At 37.3% G+C, this 17692-nt stretch overlaps 1 long non-coding RNA gene across 6 annotated transcripts in view, besides 1 other annotated feature; it reads left to right on the forward strand.

Annotated features, from left to right (window-relative positions):
* The window catches only part of LINC02718 (long intergenic non-protein coding RNA 2718), a 376384-nt gene extending 359543 nt beyond the window's left edge, over positions 1-16841 (forward strand). For 2 of the 6 annotated variants that reach the window (NR_187206.1, NR_187210.1), the window contains 2 exons: positions 3390-3447; positions 14042-16841. This is a non-coding gene — a long non-coding RNA (long intergenic non-protein coding RNA 2718). Of the gene's footprint in view, positions 1-3056; positions 3129-3389; positions 3448-14041 lie in introns of all 6 variants that reach the window. The other 4 variants (NR_187208.1, NR_187205.1, NR_187209.1 and 1 more) reach the window with 4 other exon arrangements.
* Positions 356-892: an enhancer, noted in NCBI's record as "OCT4-NANOG hESC enhancer chr11:23210858-23211394 (GRCh37/hg19 assembly coordinates)". NCBI's record gives its function as "activates a minimal SCP1, AML or CMV promoter by ChIP-STARR-seq in naive and primed H9 embryonic stem cells {active_cell/tissue: H9 hESC(naive and primed)}" and the evidence as "EXISTENCE:reporter gene assay evidence [ECO:0000049][PMID:30033119]".
* Positions 16842-17692: the final 851 nt, after the last annotated feature.

The raw sequence follows: 17692 nt of genomic DNA on the forward strand, positions 1-17692 counted from the left end.
CAGTCCATGACCGGCGCTGGAGTTTTGGGTCCACAGATAAAACGTGTCTCCTTTGCCTCTACTAGAAAATGAAAGGAATTGAAATTAAGAGAAGGGAGAGATTGAAGTGTGGCACCAAGATTGAAAGGAGAAAGAGGTTGAGGGATAGTGAGGGAGGTTGAAGAAGAGAGTAAAAAGAGGCCACTTACAAGATTTGAAATTGGTGAGATGTTTCTTCGGCTGGTCGATCTGAGGACCTGAGGTCGTAGGTGGATCTTTCTCATGGAGCAAAGAGCAGGCGGATGGGGGATTGATCTCCCAAGGGAGGTCCCCCAATCCGAGTCACGGCACCAAATTTCATGTGCATCCATGTGAAGAGACCACCAAACAGGCTTTGTGTGAGCAACATGGCTGTTTATTTCACCTGGGTGCAGGTGGGCTGAGTCCGAAAAGAGTCAGCGAAGGGAGATAAGGGTGGGGCCGTTTTATAGGATTTGGGTAGGTAAAGGAAAATTACAGTCAAAAGGGGGTTTGTTCTCTGGCGGGCAGGAGTGGGGGTCGCAAGATGCTCAGTGGGGGTGCTTTTTGAGCCAGGATGAGCCAGGAAAAGGACTTTCACAAGGTAATGTCATCACTTAAGGCAAGGACTGGCCATTTACACTTCTTTTGTGGTGGAATGTCATCAGTTAAGGTGGGGCAGGGCATATTCACTTCTTTTGTGATTCTTCAGTTACTTCAGGCCATCTGGGCATATATACGTGCAAGTGACAGGGGATGCGATGTCTTGGCTTGGGCTCAGAGGCCTGACAGTATTTATTCTATTTTTTTAACTTAAAAAGTTACTTTTTAAAAGTTTAGTTTAATCCTTAAAAAAAACTCTTGGGTAGTAATAACAGGAACTATTATAAATAAAACTTCATTTTACACAAGGGAAAAGGGAGATTTAGCATGATTAGATAACATTCTTTTGGTAATAGAATTAATGTGAACAGAAAAAATGACCTAAAGTCTCTTGACACTAAAGCCCAGGCTTAATTCATTATTTCTTATTAAATCCATATAGGAGAAGAAATGCTTACTGCCAATACCATGACAGATAACAAATTATCAGGTGAAAATATTTAATTAAAAATACTAAAATCATCTTTTGGAATGAATTTCAAAGTTGACCCTATTACGAGGCTAGATTTATTCTTAGAGTTTTTATGTTAAATGAAGCAAGTAAAATATGGTGTTAATTATAGTCTAAAATGGTGTGAAAATGTACATTAGAGATGACTAATTCATGGGGTTTCATTAAGATCTTAGATGATTTTAACATGAAGTAAAAAACTCATCATCTTCCTATGGGCCATAGAATTATTTTTCCCCTAAACAATTTCTCCATTTTCACATACACAATTCTGAATTGAAATGAATCTCTTCCATTCTTTATCTTTATTTTCCTTCTTTGTATCACTGTTATGATATGTATCACAGCCTGGTTTATATGAAATATTCATCTGTTCATCTATTCATTGATTCAGCAAATACTTACTATCTGCCATGTCCCAAACATTGCATTAGGCACTGAGATAGAGATGTAAATATAACCAAAACATTAGATGTCTCTATGTGTTATTATGAGAACAAGACACACTGTGGGCTGAGACTATGCCATCCCCTCTTCTTAGTATCAAAACCTCTCTGGGATAGCTACAAAAAATTAAAGCATCAAGTGTTAAGTTGGATATTTTAGGTTGAGGACAAGGTTGAAAAAAATGGGGGAGAATTTTAGGAGAGAAAAAAAGGTATTTTACTATTTGTTTATGTTGAGAATAATTGTCATTGTTAGACAGTTGATGCAAAATTTTACTTTTGATGTAAATTTTGTTGGAAAATAGATATTCAACATTTCTTGCTGATATATTTGCAAACTATTTGCTCTTCACAGGAACTCCAAAGCTCAGTGGCTTAGAACTTCAGTAATTTATTCCTCCTAAAGCATCTGTAGGTCAGCTGGTTCTGCTAATTGAAGCTGGGCTCTGCATGTGCTCAGCTCCAAGTTGTAGATGAGGTCTATATCTGCTCTGCACATCACTTCTTCCTTCTTAGGCCAACACTGACTGAAGTATGTTCTTTTTATAATTAAAGGCAGAAGAACAAGACCAACTATGCAAGCATATTTCAAACCTCTGCTCACCACATTATAATCTGCTAATATGCCATTGGACAAAGCATCTCACATAGCCATATATTGTGTCTCAAGAGTCAGAAGGTGTGACCTGTCACCCTGAAGTCATGACAAATGTATAGGTGCATATTGACCTTGTTTCTTATCATTAATAAAATACAAACACATAGTAGAAAACTGTTGTAGGCTAACTATAGCCTGAATAGCCATTTAGTGGTAGCTACATCAACATACTCTGCTTTTTATGCTCCTGCACAAAGCCAAACCCTCCAGATGTGTAGTGTTCTACTATTTTTCTCCCTACTTGAGAACATTTCTCCGGTAGTTTTACCATCTCACTACTATATCATAGTTCTTCACTCTCTATTGAGTCATTCTCATTGGAAATCAAATACAATACCTCATTAAAAAAATTCTTCACATTTTAAAAAACTTGTCTTTATGATTTTAGTTCAGTTGTTCTCCCTGCAATCTCTCTTAAACCTATTTCAGTTTTATATGTATATTACATACGTAACAACTAGCTAGTTATAACTATCCAAAGGCTCTCCTATCAGCGTGTGTGCTAATTGTGAATTAAGAAATTTAACAGTAAAGGCAGGAAAATAAGAAGAACATTAATAATAAGTAAATGGAGAGTGTTAGTTTTTTTTCTGCAATCAATTAAGTCCTACAAATTTTATGGATTGTGATGGCTATAACTGAAATGTAGGGGATATGCTGGACACCAGTAGATTCCATATGCTTGGCTGTGATGGCAGATAGGAAGAATGATGAAAGATCATGAACCTGACTCAAATAGATACTCATGTGTGCACGTGGACACCTGTGCATGTGCATGTGTGTATGTGTGTATGAGTGTGCATGTGTGTGTATCATATAGATATATCCCTGTGTCTTCTAGGCATGTATCTTAGCATGCAGAGAAGGGACTGAATGAATATGCCCAAAGATGTGTAACACTCATTGTCTCTGGGTGAGTGAGATGTGGAATTACTTCTTAATTTCTTTTTCTTAATATACCTGTATTTTCTGTAATGTATATTGCTTTGTAATATACAAAAGTAAAATTTATTTAAATAAAAGTTTATGATGTACACATATACTTAGTGGGTTATTGATTCTTCAAACAGGCAAATTAGTCTATGTGGTAAACTTTATTTCAAAAAAAATGGATATAAGGATCTCTCAACTCACATACTCTTCTTACCAAGTGACTTTGACAATTCTTTCATAGGGAGATGAAGAAGAAGTATGGAAGAAGTAAGATGAAGAAGAAGTATGGAAGAAGTAAGGTAAGTGTTTAATGAGACTGAGTCGCGAAAAGCATTGCAGCTTCTTGGATTTCTTAAGTCAGTCTTGGAACTCAGCCAGCATGTTATGAGAAATCCCATGTGCCTTGCACAGAAGCTCAAATGAGAAGAAGAAAACCGCTCACACTATTTTACCAGCCAAGTGAATAAGCCACTTTGAAAGTGGATTCCTCAGCCTAGATGAGCTGCCCATTTGATGCTGCAGAGAGGAACCTTTCTCACTGAGTTGCACAGCAGTAGATAACCAGGGTAGTCAGTATAATCTGGTAATTAATAGCTTGGATATTGGAGATAAACAGATGTCAATCTTGGCTCTACCACTTATCAGCTCTGTGACCGTATGCAAGTTTCTTAGCCACTCTGGTTCTTCAGTTTCTTATTTATAAAATGAAGGTAAGAATGATATACCTCTCCTAAACAAGTGATGAGTGTAACTAAGATAATTCATATAAACTACAGAGTAATAGTTCAATAAATTGTAACTGCTATTTTGTTATTTTGTTGTTGCTAATGTCCTGTAATGATGTTGGAGGAGAATGACCAGTATCACTTCTATTCATTATACTCATGTTTAGATTAAAACACAGGGAGACTAAATAGGAGGGCATTTAGGCACGTGGCAGTAATAACTCTAATTCCTATCATTAATGTGCTCGGAAGTACATTACTCTCTACCAAAAAAAGTTCTGAGATGTACTTTGTGAACTGTCATAAGCGGCTGATTGCTCTATTAGGTCTCCTGAGAATCTGAAGTCTTTGCTTCTGTGTTTTCCTAGTTGTATAAAAAAAGAAGAGCAACAACTCTTGAAGGAGAAAGTGATTAAAGAGAACTCATTAATGCATAAATGGTTGGGCATCAGTGACCAAGCAGGAAAGCTCTCTATGAAGAGATTTAAGAATACACACCACAATATTCTTTCTTTTCCCTTACTAGTATAATCGGCCATCACCCTGCCCACGATGGATAATCAAACACAAATATTCTACATAGAGGCACTATGATTTAAGTGGCAAATTCCAGCATAAGTGCTTTACATTTCCCCACATATAACACCTACACTTAACGTTAGGTTCTTTTTTTTTTTTTTTTTTTTTTTTTAGCTATAGAGAAATATTTTATTTTATTTTTTTTTATTATTATACTTTAAGTTTTAGGGTACATATGCACAATGTGCAGGTTAGTTACATATGTATACATGTGCCATGCTGGTGCGCTGCACCCACTAACTCGTCATCTAGCATTAGGTATATCTCCCAATGCTATCCCTCCCCACTCCTCTCACCCCACAACAGTCCCCAGAGTGTGATGTTCCCCTTCCTGTGTCCATGTGTTCTCATTGTTCAGTTCCCACCTATGAGTGAGAATATGCAGTGTTTGGTTTTTTGTTCTTGCGATAGTTTACTGAGAATGATGATTTCCAATTTCATCCATGTCCCTACAAAGGACATGAACTCATCATTTTTTATGGCTGCAGAGTATTCCATGGTGTATATGTGCCACATTTTCTTAATCCAGTCTATCATTGTTGGACATTTGGCTTGGTTCCAAGTCTTTGCTATTGTGAATAGTGCCGCAATAAACATACGTGTGCATGTGTCTTTATAGCAGCATGATTTATAGTCCTTTGGGTATATACCCAGTAATGGGATGGCTGGGTCAAATGGTATTTCTAGTTCTAGATCCCTGAGGAATCGCCACACTGACTTCCACAATGGTTGAACTAGTTTACAGTCCCACCAACAGTGTAAAAGTGTTCCTATTTCTCCACATCCTCTCCAGCACCTGTTGTTTCCTGACTTTTTAATGATTGCCATTCTAACTGGTGTGAGATGGTATCTCATTGTGGTTTTGATTTGCATTTCTCTGATGGCCAGTGATGATGAGCATTTTTTCATGTGTTTTTTGGCTGCATAAATGTCGTCTTTTGAGAAGTGTCTGTTCATGTCCTTTGCCCACTTTTTGATGGGGTTGTTTGTGTTTTTCTTGGAAATTTGTTTGAGTTCATCGTAGATTCTGGATATTAGCCCTTTGTCAGATGAATAGGTTGCGAAAATTTTCTCCCATTTTGTGGGTTGCCTGTTCACTCTGATGGTAGTTTCTTTTGCTGTGCAGAAGCTCTTTAGTTTAATTAGATCCTATTTGTCGATTTTGGCTCTTGTTGCCATTGCTTTTGGTGTTTTAGACATGAAGTCCTTGCCCATGCCTATGTCCTGAATGGTAATGCCTAGGTTTTCTTCTAGGGTTTTTATGGTTTTAGGTCTAACGTTGAAGTCTTTAATCCATCTTGAATTAATTTTTGTATAAGGTATAAGGAAGGGATCCAGTTTCAGCTTTTTACATATGGCTAGCCAGTTTTCCCAGCACCATTTATTAAGTAGGGAATCCTTTCCCCATTGCTTGTTCTTCTCAGGTTTGTCAAAGATCAGATAGTTGTAGCTTCTTTTTTGAAAGATATTGCAGGACTTTATACGGTTATACAGTAAACATACAGGAATATGATCCATGTTTTACAGTTTCCCTAGCTGATTCACTGATTTCATAATATGCATAGGAAAGGCAAAATGCTGTGTTGCCACTTAAACAAAGCTACAGCCATGTCTGGTGCTATATGCAAAATAAGTATCTAAAAAAGCCCCTTTTTAATTGAGCTTGGGAAATTTTATGTATAAAAATAATATCAAAATTGTGACACAAAACACAGTGAGTGTGTTAGAAATAACAGAAGATTTGGAGACAGATGGACCAGAGAATGAAATCTGGCTATACTGTCTGTAGTCTGAGTGGCCTTAATCTAGTGATTCTAATTGTAAGCATATTTTGCCTCTATAATAGGTGCAATAATATGAAAATCTGGTCATTAAGCTAAAACAGAAGAAATTGGGTAATGTCCCAACCTGGGGTGTGGCACTTAACAGATATTCTATAAATGGTAGTGGTCTTCTTCTTCCTACTTTTAACAATATTTTACATGCTGTGAGAATGACACCACACACACACACACACACACACACACTAGAAATTTATTTTGTTGTTGTATGGTTAATAGCTTTCCAAAATAATCTTAGATCTTTTGAATGAATCTCAAACAGACATCTTGAACATTATCTGTAATGGATTACAGCTGGTGAGTTCACTGGAAATATATTTGGTTGAACCATAGAAAATTGCTATTTTGAGGTAAAAGTGTCTAATATTCAACAATTTCATAGAGTTCAAGTAATAGATAACATTGCAATTGCAGATAGAAAGAAAGTTAGGGGAGGGACATATAATGATTTTTAAATAATAAACAAGATTTAGATAAACTCATTGTGGGGAAGTCTTTCTAGGGAACAAACTTGCCCTGGTCACAGAAAGACTATTCTGATGGAAGAAGTCCATTACTGCTCACCTGGTGTTTCCAGTGGCAGAAAGAATAGTCAACCATTTTTGCTAAGCCAATATGTCCATACTCCAAAAAAGAAAATCACTAGATACTTCTCAGGAGCTGCTTACATTATTTTTATTCATTTTGATCCACTCTGTCTCTGGGTACTTAATAGAATATTGCAAAGTCACTGATCACTTGTTATTCACAAATAATATTTGTATTTGCTCAATGGTCAGTTCATTAAGGAAGTATCATTAAGACCATTGCCTCATTCAATCAAGTTTTCTACCATAAATTTCAAGGTATAAAGTATACTCCAGCATGATATAGGGCTAATCATCTAGCTGTGTATAGCAAGAACAGAATCACAGACAGAATTGTTTGGTGTATTGCATTAATTCAATATCTTAAGTGTGAATGATGACAAGCCTTAGATAACAGGTCTGACGATGGTAGGTAATGAGAAAATTTATTGTAAGGGGGGAAATACAATGTTGATGCATGTTGCCATGTACAATGAAAATAATATGAGCTTTGGGGTCAGAAAATACACTATCTATATTTGTTTTATTTGTTTCCCTTAGTATACTACTTCTGAGAGAACACATCAATAATAATATAATTTTAACATAGCTTAATGATGAAGCCCTACAACTTTTTTTGTTGTTTTTAACACAAAAAATACAACAAAACCTATATTATAGAATGGATAAGGCACGTTTATTTTTCTGAAGGTTTTCAAAGGATGTATGGTGTATTATCTCAGGAGATTCCATTTTCTCCCCAAAACTTTCTCTGAATTTATGGCATTGAGAAGGGCCTTAAGTGTATATACCTGGCTACCTCAAAATGCAGCCAAAAGAAAAATGTTTGTTTTAAAGATAGATGTATTGAAGCACTCATGGTGGGGGAAATGAAAAATAAATTAATTAGTACAATCTCTGCCTTCTAACCTTATTAATAAATAATGTTATAATATTTTGCTTTTAAACAAAGTTCTGTAACTGCAGGAGTGATGCCAATTTAAATAGCAATTGCATTTACTCCAATAAACAATGACTTAAAAATTAATTACCACAGTAATTTTATCAGTGATTTTAAGAGGTTATTTTAAATAGTCTATGAAATTGAAGAAATACAAATCAAAAGCATGAAATCTTATGTATTCTCAGATACAATAATTTATTGCTCTTAGGATAGTTTTATTTAACCAAAGCCATCTTTTCCTTCTGATGTTACATGAAAGTTCAAGTAATTATTTTCTTTCATTTATCTATCTAAGAAACCACAGAAGTCCCAAAATTCATTACAAAGTGCTAATATTTAACAACTCAAATAATTGTTCTGTACAATTAGCTAAATTACATGATTGATTTCTTGATTAACTGTATTTACAAGTCTTTTTCCTCTTTGTACTGTGCTATCTTTTGGTCAAATTCATTCAAAAAAGTAATGCTGCATGATTCATTAGGAGAAATAGTTGTAGTTCTTGGTTTATGTGGTTGATTCATTATCATGTGTATTACTTGTAATTATTTAAAAATGTGTCAAAGATTTTATTCAACTCATTAATTAATGAGGAAACCAATAAGAAGATAAAACTATTCTCCACAACATTTTGAGAAATTGGGTTTACATGATGTTTTTCTCTAAACAGGACTAAGATTTCTAGATAAAAAATAAGTTAATGTGTTTCAGAAAATAAAACATAAACTTCAGGATTATCTTTGCTACGAGACAGAAGAAATTGAATCATACAAGTTTAACATCTACAACTTCCACAGTTTTAGCCCTTAGTTAACAAATATTTGCATATACATTCCTCCAGTTACTCTCTATCTCATCACCTTATTTATCTCTCTCATGTCACTTAACATAATCTGTAATTACATGTTTATTTGTTTACATATTCAGATCCAATAGAAAGAAAGTGACCTATGTATCTCACCTATATATCCTCAGGTCCTAAAATAGTGCTTTGCATGTAGAAGATGCTTAATAAATATCTGCCTAATGGATGGATGGATGAATGGGTGGATGGGCATATAGTATGCCCATAGTTATAATAGCAAAATACTATGAAAGATATTTTGATAAGTTTTTGTTATTTGACCTGCCCTTTTAAAGACTCTGTATTAGTCTGTTTTCACACTACTGAAAAAGATACATTGAAGACTGGGCAATTTACAAAAGAAAGAGTTTTAATGGATTTACCATTACATGTGGCTGGGCAAGCAACACAATCACGGTGGAAGACAAAGAGGAGCAAGTCACATCTTACATGGATGGCAGCAGACAAAGAGACAGAGCTTGTGTAGGGAAACTCCCATTTTTATAACCATCAGATCTCATGAGACTTATTCACTATCATGAGAACAGCATGGGATAGACCTGCCCCCATGATTCAGTTACCTCCCACTGGGTTCCTTCCATAACACATGGGAATTGTGGGAGTTACAATTCAAGAAGGGATTTGGGTGGGGACACAGACAAACCATATCATTCCACCCCTGGCCACTCCCAAATCTCATTTCCTCACATTTCAAAACCAATCATGCCTTGTCACCAGTCCCCAAAATTCTTAACTCATTTCAACATTAACTCAAAAGTCCACAGTCCAAAGTCTCATCTGAGACAAGGCAAGTCCCTTCCACCTAGAAGCCTGTAAAATCAAGGGCAAGTCAGTTACTTCCTAGATACAATGAGGATACAGGTATTGGGAAAGAACACCCATTCCAAGTAGAAATAATCGGCTAAAACAAAGGGGCTACAGGCCCTATGCAAGTCCAGAATCCAGTGGGACAGTCAAATCTTAATGCTCCAAAATGATCTTTGACTCCATGTCTCACATACAGGTCATGCTGATGCAAGAGGTGGATTCCCATGGTCTTGGTCAGCTTCACACCTGTGGCTTTGCAGGGTACAGCTTCCCTCTTGGCTGCTTTCACAGGCTGGCCTTGAGTGTCAGAGGTTTCTTAAGCTGAATGGTGCAAGCTGTCAGTGGATCTACCATTCTGGGGTCTGGAGGATGGTGTTGGCCCTCTTCTCACAGCTCCACTAGGCACTGCCTCAGTAGGTACTCTGTGTGGGGGCTCCAGCCCTACATTTCCCTTCTGCACTGCCCTAGCAGAGGTTCTCCATGAGGGCCCCACCCCTATAGCAAAACTTCTGCCAGGGCATCCAGGTGTTTCCATACATCTTCTGAAATCTAGGTAGAGGTTTCTAAACCTCAGTTATTGATTTCTGTGCACTCACAGGCTCAACACCACATGGAAGCTGCCAAGGCTTGGGGCTTGCACCAACTGAAGCCACAACCCAGGCTCTACATTGGCCCCTGTTGGCACCTCTCAGCCATAGCTGGAGTGGCTGGGATGCAGTACACACAGCATGGGGACCCTGGGCCTGGCCCATGAAACCGTCTTTTCCTTCTAGGCCTCTGGGGCTGTGATGGGAGGGGCTGCCATGAAGACCTCTGACATGCCCTGAAGACATTTTTTTCATTGTCTTGGGGATTAACATTTGGCTCCTCATTACTTATGCAAATTTCTGCAGCTGGCTGGAATTTTTCTTCAGAAATGGTATTTTCTTTTCTATCACATTTTCAGGCTGCAAATTTTCTGAACTTTTATGCTCTGTTTTCCTTATAAAACTGAATGCCTTTAACAGCACCCAAGTCACATATTGAGTGCTTTGCTGCTTAGAAATTTATTCTGCCAGAAACCCTAAATCATGTCTGTGAAGTTCAAAGTTCCACAAATCTCTATGGCAGGGGCAAAATGCTGCCAGTCTCTTTGCTAAAACATTATAAGAGTCACCTTTGCTCCAGTTCCCAACAAGTTACCCATCTCTATCTGAGACACCTAAGCATGGATTTCATTATCCATATCATTATCAGCATTTTGGCCAAAGTCATTCAACAAGTCTCTTGGGAGTTGCAAACTTTCCCACATTTTCCTGTCTTCTTCTGAACCCCCCAAACTATCCCAACCTCTGCTGTTACCCAGTTCCAAAGTTGCTTCCACATTTTTGGGTATTGTTTCAGCAGTGCCCCACTCTACTGGTACCAATTTACAGTATTAGTCTGTTTTCACACCACTAGGTTCCTCTCATGACATGTGGGAATTGTGGGAGTTACAAATCAAGATGAAATTTGGGTGGTGACACAGCCAAACAATATCAGATTCCTAGAAAAATTTCCCTTTTCCACTTATTCTTACACTTACACATATTGACATTACTGGTTAGGTTAATATTTCCGTGTCATAACTCTTGACCTGGAACATTTGTGTTCATTTAAAGCAAGTCTAAATTCATTATGAAAACTTTCTTTCTTTTTAAAATATTTTTAACCTTTTAAAAAACTTTTCATTTTCTTTTAAGTGGTGAGAACATGTAAGATATATTCTTTTAGTGAGTTTCAATTATGTAATCGAGTGTTATTAACTATAGTCCCCATGCTTCACATTAGATCTTCAGAACTTATTCATCTTATAACTTAACAAATTATAGAGGATTTATTCTGCATGTTTTATATTTTAAGATAATATACTTAATGAATGCACAGTCTTTCTTAAAAGTTCTTCTGGAGAGCCAGGCACAGTGGCATGTTCTATAGTCCCAGTTATTTGGGAGGCTGAGGCAGGAGATCCCTTCAGTCAGAAGTTCCAGGCTGTAGTGTGCAATAATTGTGCTGTGAATAACTACTACCCTCCAGCCAGAACAACGTAGTGAAACTCCATCTCTTAAAGTTATTTTGAGTTTTTCATTATTGTTCTACATATTCTTCCAAGTTGCATCAATTAAAAAAAGTTTTCTTTGAAACTGAAATTAGATTTTAAAGACTTTGATGAATATGTATAAGGTCAAAAAGTCATGATGTCAAAATGGAATGTTTAGAACCATAAATAATTATTAAAAGTATGAATTGATAACCAACTATATGCATTTACACTGAATTTTTCCAGATTATTAAAGTTCATTAACATGCAAGATCCATGAGGAAAGGATCTTTTTTCTGCACCGTTGTTTCCTCAGAATATGTGAGCAGTACTCACATATTTTAGGTGTTCTATAAATGTGTGATTAGATAATTTTTCATTGACTTTTCTAACGTTAGATCATTACAGTCCATCTTGTCTGCCATCATTGAAAGATAACCCTTCCCCTCCTCCAATGAAGCATATTTATAAATTGTTTCAATATTCTGGTTGACTTTTTCACTGTCTGCTCTGACTTTTCTGAAATCCCAAGCTCTGCCAATAGATGAATATAATGGTTAGGGGCACAATTACAGAGAGGTAGGTTTGAATTCCACTTCTGCTAATTCTAATCTGTGTAATTTTAACTCATGTCTATTCAGTATCATCTACACTATTTCAGAGCATACTATAAATTTCTTGAAATATTTGAAACTAAATTGGAATACCTTTGCAGTTTTCCCTTAGCAAATGTATAATTTGCAGTTAAAGAAGAGAGAGAAAAGTTATTTTTACTATGTATGTAAAAATTCCAGGTACAGTTAAGCCATTTATACAAAGACTTCAGCCGCAAAAGAAAAATGTAATGTTAAAGAAAATGTTTTATTTTAAACTCAGAAAGATAAAAATAAAACTTAATTTCTTTCCAGCAATATCTAACAGATTGTTAAAATTATGAAGACAAAGTAGAGATTGTTGCTAGGACTCTGCTAAAGGATCCTGTTCATAATATGACTAAAGCATTGTATATTTTGATAACAGAATACATTTCAAAGTTGTCCAAATAGTACATGGGATTTATTTACTAATAAATAATCTTTAACAAACTATATATATTAAAATGTGACCACCTAACCTTTTATTCTAGGCCAGTTTCATACAGATTATTCTTGTTTTGTTTCATTTGATGGAAAATTATGCTACCTTAGTGAGAAAGAGCAATAAATCCCCAGCAAATAAGCTTTGGAATTTTTATATAATTAGGTATAATTTTATAAGCCTATGCCAACTGATTCCTAATACTGAATAAGCTAATATTAGCCTTGGTATAAAGAGGCACTATATACAGATAGGGTCTCTGCCTTCATGGAGCTTAATGTTCACTGGGGAAGGGAAAACACAGTCAATTAAATTGTTGACCATGTGGGGGCTGGGATTACCAAGGTAATAGCTGAATATTGCTTGGACTTGGATTTAAGGAGGGACAAAGAGACAGGGGAATATTTTCATTGTTTGTCCTCTTGATGGTGGTAGCAGCCCATCTGGAGCAGCTGCTGTGAGGATGCCAGCAGTAGCAGGGGAGGCATGGCCAGGGCTGCATGCTCTGGGAACTGGGCTGGGAACAGGTGATTCAAGTAGGAGCCCCATACCCTACCGAGTTGGTGGGGTGGGAGCCCCTTGCTCCTGGGTGCAGCTGCAGCTGCCCAGACACAGCTCTGGACCTGGGCATCCCTGCACTCTCAGGAGCCCAGGAAGCTCCCTGCTCCCACAAGCTCAGAAGTGCCTACTCCTCCCTGACCTCTCCTGGCACCCATCCTGGTGCAGAGCAAAGCTGTGGCCAAGCCTGGGTGCTGGTGTGACCTGGCTGGGTGTGTATGCACTTGAGGCAGCACTGACACACCAGCCCTTGCTACGTCGGTCTCCTCCAAACTTTGGGCTCCAGTGAGCCCAAAAGGGAGGCCAGGGGGCTGAGAGTGGCTCAGCATAGGCCTGCAGGCACCTCTCAGTGTGGACAGCATGGGCACCACAGACAGTATGTTGATGGCAGGCAGGAGGCAGACAGGTCCCTTGGGGGGGAAGGGGTGGGTCCCTGGTGAACCCCCACCTTAAAGCCAAAGATGTTCTGAAGCCTGGGGGCTGAACTGCCAGTTCTGGGTGGAGTCAGCAATCTGGAGTGAGAACTTCCTTAAGACTTTTGGCTGATTAAATGGTGCTTATTTTAGTCCTGCCCATGGCCACCCATGGACCAATCAGCATGCACTGTCTCTTGCCCATGGACCAATCAGCATGTACTTCCTCTATTCTGAGCCCATAAAAACCCCAGACTCAGCCAACTCAGGCACTCATTGGGACTACCTGCCTGAGGATGTGAGCTGTGTACTTCAGGTCTCCTCTACGCTCCTTGTGATTAACTGCCTGTAGATAGGAGCTATCCACTTTGGGTCTTCTCTCCTCTGATAGCTGTTTGGCCATCCAATAAAGCTCTTCTCCACCTTGCTTATCCTCCAGTTGTCTGTGTAACCTCATTCTTCCTGGACATGGGACAAGAACTTGGGACCCGCTGAATGATGGGAGCAAAAGGAGCTGTATCATGTTCCTGGCCAGCTGGCTAAACTGCAGATGGTGACATGCTCCCAGACTGTGGGAGTGAAGAGTGGCAACCCTTCTGGCGGCCCAGACCTTAGCATTTCCCAGGCAGAGCTGCTGTAAAACTGTATCCCTCTTGCTCTTTGCTGGCACCAGGCGACTGGCCCACACAATGGGAAGCAACAGTGGGGCCAGGCCAGCCCAGGAGGTGTGGGCCAGAGTGGGGTGGTGGGACTGAAAAAGCTGTTAGACAAATGGGCTGAAACATGCCCCAACTCTTGCCATGCTGCAAGGGTTGAGGAGGGAAGAGCTGTCACCCTGCTGGGATCCCAGAACTCAGGGCTCCCCAAGCCAGGAATGTGCCATGCTGTAACACCCTCTTTGGGGCTCTGGGGTTCCTGGTGTCTCCAAGCTTTTGAGTGTCACTGCATTCTCTTTGTCAAGATGCTGGTGCCCGCAGCAGAAGCTGCTTATTGTACGTGTGGTCCAGCCACAGCCTTGCACAGAGCTGGCACCTGTGCTGGTGCCTGAAGCTGCCCCCCCGCTACAGAAATGAGAATTCCTGGCTGAGCACAGTGGCCAGACCTGTGCTTGCTTGCTTACACACCTTTTGCCCCTCCGTGCCTGGCTTGCCCTTTAGCAGGCATGGGATCCGGGCCAGAAGCATGAACCAAGTGCAGCCTGCTGGGCTGAGTGGGCTGAACAAGCCAGCCAGTGTGAGTAAAACTCAAGCAGAGGTGCCACCAGCTCTAGAGGTTTCCAGTTGGTGAAGCGACACTCTAAGGATCCTGTGACCCTCTCTCTCTTGATGATCTGAAATTTCCATCTCCATGTAATTAAAAATATAAAAATACATCCCAATAACTTTAATTTTGGCAGGTTATGAATGTGAAATTAGGGCATGGTGGCATGCTCTTGTAATCCTAGTAGCATTTTGGAAGGCTGAGGCCACAAGTTCAAGGCTGCAGTGCGGATTAATTATGAGCTCCTAAATGATAAAATTACTGTTGTTAACCGTTAGAGATGTTGGTAATTACTAGCTATGTTGAAAGAATGACTAAAAATGCATTAAGCATGAAATCATTATTAAGCTCAAATGGGGCATATTTAAAAGAGGAAACATAGACATCAAAATAAAGAAAAGATGTAGTTGATATGTCTTAAATTTGCTTTTAGTTTTGTATGTTTTCCTTTTGAAATGATAAAAATATATCCAATAAATAAAGTTGATAACTCTCCTTTGCTTTTGTCATATATAATAATTTTTCCAGATAAACAGTTTGATTGTGCAAATACCATAGAATTCTAGGCAGTGAATCAATTTATTCAGGTTTCATTTTAAAATGCTTTGTTAGTATAAGACAGGTAATATATACTTGTGTATTTTTTCCTCCTTTGTGTCAAGAGCTGTATAACTGATTAATTGTGCTAATTTATTAGCTTTAGAACCATGCAGAAAGAAGAGTGCTTCACAGAATGATTGCTTTATGAAGCATAAGGAGAAACAGATGAACATGTGAACAGTGAAAGATCTTTTCCATGGAACTGTGTTCATCCTCTGATTAAAACGAATTGTGTAAAGTTGTATATTGTATTTCACCCTTAGCATTTGGAAATGTGCATGTAATTTTGGTTTTGGTGCTTCATTACAATAATGCGTAGAAAGAAAAAAGGTATTTATAGAATATTGCAAAAGCAAATTTGTAGGATAAAATATGTCTGGCCATGTGTATTAGATACTAGTTAACTCATATCATTACTTCATTGGTACTTCACTAAATTATGTCACAAAAGCAAATACAGGATTTTCCAGAGCATGCTTTTGGAAAAATCTGAAGTTTTATTGAGGACTCATTAATTTTCCCTGTCCCATAACTTACAATTTATTTCACAAGCATTATAAACTTCAGATCATTCAGATATTGCATTTTAGTATTGTAAATTATAAGAATAGATTTAGAATGCATACTTTTTGAGGATAGGTTGCTTTCCTTAATGAAAGTATCATATTTTTAGTTTACAGTGAAATTTAAAGAATGGTTTATTATTTGAGCTACAATTGCAAAAACTTTAGATAATACATTTAAACTTGGCATTAGAAAGAAAAAAACTTTCTAAATAGAAAAACTTTTCAACTTTTCTATTTTTCAACTAGAAATTTATACAGTTAGAATGTTTTTAAAGAAAAAGTTTTATCTGTAAGGGAAGTGCTTACTGCCAACATATTTCACCAAAGCTTAAATTCTCAAGAGGACATGTCATCCTTATAAGCAAACCATTCTGATTACATCAATCACATTATATTACCTTGGGTGACTGACTTGCATGAGAAACCAGCAGTTGTGACTTGAATTGCAATATGCAAGACAGTAAAAACCATATTTTACTTTAAAATATATTAATGTATTACTTTTCCTAATAAAATACATTGAAAATTTTTATCAGTAGCCAGGAAATTATAGAACTAGGCAGTTGTATTCCTGAAGCACTTTCAGTGTTCATGATAATTAATTTGAGAAGTAGACTCTTATCACACAGTAGCATCTGTTGAACATTCTTGTTTTTGGTAAAATTAATTTCTGACTGATTCATGAAATAAATGATAAGGAACATAAATTCAGCTCTTTACTGTATGACTCATGTAACCTATGACTTTTTGGGGGAAGTTTCACATAATGGGAATACATTAAGAAATGTTTTAAATAAAAACACATATAACTAACCTTTTCTCTTAGATCTCAGGCTCTATCTCCTACTGTTTCAAAGCTCTATGATTACAAATATTTTAATAAGGTCAATGTTAGTATATTATAAAGTTATGAAGTAGTCATATACTGAAAACTAAGTTCATTGAAAAATTTCCCAGAGAGATTAGGTAGAACCTCAAATAAGATAATGTTGTTTTCTCTAAGGTTCATTTGCCTGAGATTACTGGCAATCAGGATTCTAATTTGGAACTAAATTGTCAATCCAAATGTACTAACCTGATAGACTGAGTCTCATTACCACCCTCTGCAATGTGGAAGCCTGTTAAATGTGAATTATACATTTCACAATCAAATGGTCCTTTATTTAATCTACCTTCAGAACTTGACTTATTTTGATAATTTTACAAATATATAAGTGAATTGACATACATTCATTTATTCACAAAGCATTTTAAGAGTTACTAAAAGTGATCCCATTTTGGAGAATAGCTTAAAATAATTTCTAATAGGCTTTTAGAGTGGTGAGATTGCAAAAGGCTCTCTTTTCTAAAATCTTTTTTATATTTTCTAAATTTACTATATATAAATATAATATTCTGCAAACAAAATATGTTACTTTAAAAAGAAAGACTATTTTTAATATCCTGACTTTCAAATAATGGGACATTGTAAGGTTATGTACAAAAAAATAAAATATTGAAAACTTTGTATTTCTTCAGCTGAAAAGAGATTATCTGGTTAAATATAAGCAAGTGCATGCTTGAGAGATTCTCACTGTCTGTAAGGTTCTGATAGATATTTAGATCAAGGAAAATTTAACCTGGAATAACTTTCAAAAAAATCTTAGAAACAATGAAATAAACTT

This window comes from Homo sapiens, chromosome 11, assembly GCF_000001405.40.
Source record: "Homo sapiens chromosome 11, GRCh38.p14 Primary Assembly".
In the NCBI taxonomy this organism is placed as follows: Eukaryota; Metazoa; Chordata; class Mammalia; order Primates; family Hominidae; genus Homo; species Homo sapiens.